At 51.4% G+C, this 5,227-nt stretch overlaps 1 non-coding gene across 1 annotated transcript, besides 3 other annotated features; it reads left to right on the forward strand.

Moving 5' to 3' along the window:
* Nucleotides 1,905–2,405: an enhancer, noted in NCBI's record as "H3K4me1 hESC enhancer chr14:102780520-102781020 (GRCh37/hg19 assembly coordinates)". NCBI's record gives its function as "activates a minimal SCP1, AML or CMV promoter by ChIP-STARR-seq in naive H9 embryonic stem cells {active_cell/tissue: H9 hESC(naive)}" and the evidence as "EXISTENCE:reporter gene assay evidence [ECO:0000049][PMID:30033119]".
* Nucleotides 2,299–2,378: an enhancer, noted in NCBI's record as "active region_9068". NCBI's record gives its function as "activates an Ori minimal core promoter by ATAC-STARR-seq in GM12878 lymphoblastoid cells {active_cell/tissue: GM12878}" and the evidence as "EXISTENCE:reporter gene assay evidence [ECO:0000049][PMID:35858748]".
* Nucleotides 4,504–4,603: an enhancer, noted in NCBI's record as "active region_9069". NCBI's record gives its function as "activates an Ori minimal core promoter by ATAC-STARR-seq in GM12878 lymphoblastoid cells {active_cell/tissue: GM12878}" and the evidence as "EXISTENCE:reporter gene assay evidence [ECO:0000049][PMID:35858748]".
* TRI-AAT5-4 (tRNA-Ile (anticodon AAT) 5-4) lies at nucleotides 4,814–4,887 on the forward strand. Its single transcript has one exon. It is a non-coding gene; the product is annotated as a tRNA-Ile (tRNA).
* Nucleotides 4,888–5,227: the final 340 nt, after the last annotated feature.

Consider the following 5,227-nt stretch of genomic DNA (forward strand, 5'->3'; position numbering starts at 1 on the left):
ATTAAACGGGCTGGTGAGAGAGAATCCTTGCTTACTTGAGTTTATAGAAGCCATGTGGCCTGTTCTTGGAGACCCAGAGAGGAAAAGGGCTTTGTTTGCCAAGGTTCCTCACTTGCTGGTGGCTCCCCTGGGCTTGGATCCTAGTTCGTGGCTTCCAGTTCCCTGTCTTCTACTGCTTATTATTATTATTGCTATTTTTTTTTTGAGATGGAGTCTTGCTCTGTTGCCCAGGATGGAGTGTAGTGGTCCCATCTCGGCTCACTACAACCTCCACCTCCCGGGTTCAAGCGATTCTCCCGCCTCAGCCTCCCAAGTAGCTGGGATTACAGGCACCCGCCATCACGCCCAGCTAATTTTTGTATTTTTGTAGAGACAGGGTTTCACCACATTGGCCAGGCTGGTCTTGAACTCCTGACCAAAGGTGATCTGCCCGCCTCTGCCTCCTAAAGTGCTGAGATTACAGGCGTGAGTCACCACGCCCAGCCTATTATTATTATTATTAGTTTATTTATTTTTGGGAGAGATGGAGTTTCTCCAAGTTGTCCAGGCTGGTCTCAAACTCCTAGGTTAAAGCGATCTGCTCGCCAAGGCCTCTCAACGTGCTGAGATGATAGGTGTAAGCCACTGCGCCTGGCCTTCTACTGCTCTTTCCTACATCTAACAAAGACTTTGGGCCTGGCGCGGTGGCTCCGCCCAAAATCCCGGCACTTTGGGAGGCTGAGGCGAGCAAATCACCTGAGGTCAGGAGTTCAAGATCAGTCTTGCCAACGTGGTGAAACCCCGTCTCTACTAAAAATACAAAAATTAGCTGGGCTTGGTGGTGGGCGCTTGTAATCCCAGTTACTTGGGAGGCTGAGGCAGGAGAATTGCTTGAACCTAGGAGGCAGAGGTTGCAGTGAGCCAAGATCACGCCATTGCACTCCTGCCTGGGTGGCAAGAGCGAAACTCCATCTCAAAAACAAAATAAAAAAGACTTTTGAGACTTTGTCAAAACTTCGCAATAATGTACGTGCTTCCAGGCCAAGGCAGGTGGATCACTTGAGGTCACGACTTCAAGACCAGGCTGGCCAACATGGTGAAACCCCATCTCTACTAAAAAGACAAAATTAGCCGGGCGTGGTGGTGAATGCCTGTAATCCCAGCTACTCAGGAGGCTGAGGCAGGAGAATCACTTGAACCCGGGAGGCGGAGGTTGCAGTGAGCCGAGCCAAGATCGCGCCATTGCGCTCCAGCCTGGGCAACAAGAGGGAAACTCCGTCTTAAAAAAAAAAAAAAAAAAAAAAAAAAAGGTCTTCAGAGTGACTTTAGTCCATTATGACTGGCGTCTACACAAAAGGGGCGATTTGGACATAGGGACACACAGGGAGAACAGTATGTGAAGATGCAGGCAGAGATCAGAGTGAAGCTTCTACAAGCGAAGGAAGGCCAAAGTTGGCCCGAAATCCACCAGAAGCCAGGAGACAGCCTGGGGCGGTCTCCGTGGGAGCCTCCGAAGGAAGCGACCTTCCCGACACCCTGACTTTGGACGTCTGCCTACTAGAACTGTGAGGCCATATATTCTGTTGTGTGGCCACCTACCTTATAATACTCTGCTGTGGCCGACCTGGGAAACTAACACAGCGGGTCGTTACTGTCAGACCAAAGGTTCCAACTTATAAACAGAATGAAACATTTCGTAAGTTGAGTTTAAAGAAAATGGATTATTTAAAATGCACATGGGCCCCCCGCCCCACATTAAAAAAACAAAAAACAAATACAAGGCGGAGGTTGCAGTGAGCCGAAATCGCGCCACTGCGCTCCAGTCTGGGCGACAAGAGCGAGACTCCGTCTCAAAAACAAAAACAAAAGCAAGAAAACAAGCCCGAATGGTATTCTCTACCACTTAATTCTGAAAGTATGTAGATTCGTGTTTTCGTCACTCAGAGAATGAAAATTAGCGTTTGTTTGTCTAAGAGCTCTAAGACGGGGTGAGAAGTGGAGGAAGAGGTCCAGAGGAGGAAAGAAAACTGCTCGCCCGCGCCCGCCCTGCAGCTGCACGTGGGTCGCCCTAAGCCTGGGTTCGGAGCTGATGGCGCAGGTCCCAGGTGCCCTCTAGCGGCTGACGTCAGTCACGGCGCCCCGGCCCCGGCGCGCCCCGTCCACTCTGCCCACTCGGGACGCGTGGCTTGAAGTCCCGGGAATGCCACGGTTGCACCCACAAGGGTCGATCAACTCGGCTTCCTTCAGGAGACCTGGACTGACCACCCGCTGTGTGCCAAGCACTGTTTAGGTGCTGGTAAAATAGAGCCCACTGCTCCTGGAGTTCGCTCTAGCGGTGGGAGGCCGACGATTAGCAGCGGGAATAAGCGATGGAGGGGGGTCGGGCCGGGAACCGCAGGGATCCTGGGTGCGGGTTGCGATTGCAAATGGGGGCATCGGGTAAACCTCGCTGAGTAAGTGACATTTAAGCAGCGACCACGACGAGGAGGAGGAGCTTTGACATTGTCTGCAGGAAAAGTGGTCCAGGAAGAGGAACAGAAGCGCAAAAGCCCCAGCACAGGAGCAAGGGCCAGGGAGGAGGCGGAGGGGCTGCCGCGGAGGGAGCCGGGCAGGGGTGCAGGAGGGCAGAGGGGAAAGGCGCAGGTCCGGTGGTGTCTTTCAACGGGATGTTACCCTGGGCGTAGGGTTGTCAGATACAGCACATGTATTCTTTTAGTATAAGTATGTCCCAAATATGGCGTGGGACATACTTACACTAAAAAAAGTTTCATTGTCCTTTTGCAATTCAATTTTAACCCGGCATCTTGATCTATATTTGCTAAATTTGGCAGGCCTGTTAGGGCTGCAACAAAAGGAGAGAGTGTGAGCAGAGAAATGACTTGATCTGACTGTTTTAAACCCATGTGACTCTTACCTATTGCTATGCCAGAGAGTGTGCTAGGTTCTGGGCATTCATTCAGCTGTAAGCAAAATGGACAGGATGCCTGCACCCCCACCAGTGCTCTGTGAGAGGGCTTTACCCCTTTGGCCTGCTCATCTATCCTTGTCCTTTGGACACAGTAAAGTGCTCCAGACTTCAGGACGCTTGCCCAGCCTCCCAGCACACCACCTAATCTTCTCCGTTCCCTATAATATCCGCCTTCCTTGTTATGCGGAGAGCTCCATCAGGATGGGGATTAGGTTTCTTTGACTCACAGCTGATTGGGGGCCAGGGCACTGCCGGGCTGAATGAGTATGTCTTCACTGAGTGTCCGTTTTTCTAAACCTGGTCCTCTAGCCTTACTCGTGGAGGGTGACCTACCTAACATCCTTTACATAAAATCTTTTCGAATCAGCTAGACTCGGTTTCTGCTGCTTGTGACATAGAACCCTGACGATACCTCAGTCCAAGCAGTTTAGTGGAGTAATCAGAGCAGAATGTATAATGTTAAAAAGCTGGCCCGATGCGGTGGCTCACGCCTGTAATCCTAGCACTCTGGGAGGCCGAGGCAGGCGGATCACTTGAGGTCAGGAGCTCGAGACCAGCCTGGCCAACATGGTGAAACCCCATCTCTACTAAAAATACACACACACACACACACACACACACACACACACACACACACACACAAAGTAACCGGACAAGGCGCGTGCCTGTAGTCCCAGCTACTTGGGAGGCTGAGGCAGGAGAATCGCTTGAACCCAGGAAGCAGAGGTTGCAGTGAGCTGAGATTGCACCACTGGACTCCAGCCTGGGTGACAGAGCGAGACTCTGTCTCAAAAAAAAAAAAGCTGGTGCTCCTGGAGTGGGAGGGCCACGCAGCACACCATAGTCAGGCCCTGTAGGAGAACAGTAGGCCTCTGGGACATGCAGGCTGGGTGGTGGACACGGTGGTGGTTTGTCTTCCCAGCCTTTTCTTTCTCTCTCTCTTTTTTTGCATACAGATCCTACGCTTTTAGGGGTGGGTACCATCGTTGCCTACTCAGTGGCTGTTTCAACCCTTCTGCCTGTACCATGTGATTTATTTATGTGCTCAGTTAACAAGAGAGAGAGCAAAATGAAAACATTTTTACAGACACTAAAAAAAAAAAAAAAAAAAAAAGGAGAAAGCCATGGTGGTTTGTCCACTCAATGAAACACTGAGAAATCATTTAAAGTGACATTTGCAATTGTTTAGGGATATGCTTATTCTAGAATATTAAATGCAAAAAGAAAGATAAAAAATAGACTGCTTCATTGAGCCGAAATCTCGCCACTGCACTCCAGCCTGGGCGACAGAGGGAGATTCCGTCTCAAAAAAAAGACTGCTTCATACAAGGCTTTGGATTCCGTGTGTGTGTGTGTGTGTGTGTGTGTGTATAAATACACGTGTACTGTAGGAAAAAAAACCAGCAGGAAGGAAGCCAAGACCCCAGCGGCCCTTGTTTATTGGGCGATAGGGAATTCGGTGGTTCTTTTGTCCGGTTTTCTGTATTTTCCAAGCTTGATTTAACCATGCTAAAGGCCTCTGTTACACGAAGTTTCCACGCTGCAGGATTCTCGGAGATAAAAACAACACTGAGTTGGCATGTTTGAAAACCTTCTCACTGCGGAGCTAAGCCTCCCATGTGCAATTTGCATTTTTCCTGTGAAAAAAAGCCGCCTTCGCTGTAGGGAGTCGCCTCCCTTCTCCTTGAAGTCCCCTAAGTCTTAGTTTCTGCATCGGGCCAATGGGGATGACTGTGAAGAGGTCGGAAGTCGCGGCTGTGGCGAAGCGGAATGCAGCCAGCGGCGCCGGCCCGGCAGGGAGTCGCTAGGGGGCGGGCGCGGGCTTGGAGCCCTCTTAGGCGCTCCCGTGGGGGCCCAACGTCAGGCGGCCGGTTAGCTCAGTTGGTTAGAGCGTGGTGCTAATAACGCCAAGGTCGCGGGTTCGATCCCCGTACGGGCCAGGCTAACTTTTTTTTTTTTTTTTTGGTCCCCGCAATGTTCCTTTCTGATACTGTAACCGGCGTGCAGGCAGGAGAGAACTGCGGAATCTTTTGGACTGGCCCAGAGGTTATCCAAGGCTACCTGCTGGGGAGAGCGGGAGGAACTCAGAGCGCGCTGGGGCGGTGGCTCCTCACCCCGAGTCCCCGCGCCGCCACCTGAAGGGTCTGTTTTAGAATGCCATTGGTTAGGCCTTTTACTTTTGTCGTTTTAAAGGACACTCTGGACATCCAACCGATGCACATCCCACGCCCCCACCCCCCACGTTTCCTGAGGCTGCGTCTGGCCTGGAGGAACCGCCCA

The sequence above is a fragment of the Homo sapiens genome, chromosome 14, assembly GCF_000001405.40.
Source record: "Homo sapiens chromosome 14, GRCh38.p14 Primary Assembly".
Taxonomy (NCBI): Eukaryota; Metazoa; Chordata; class Mammalia; order Primates; family Hominidae; genus Homo; species Homo sapiens.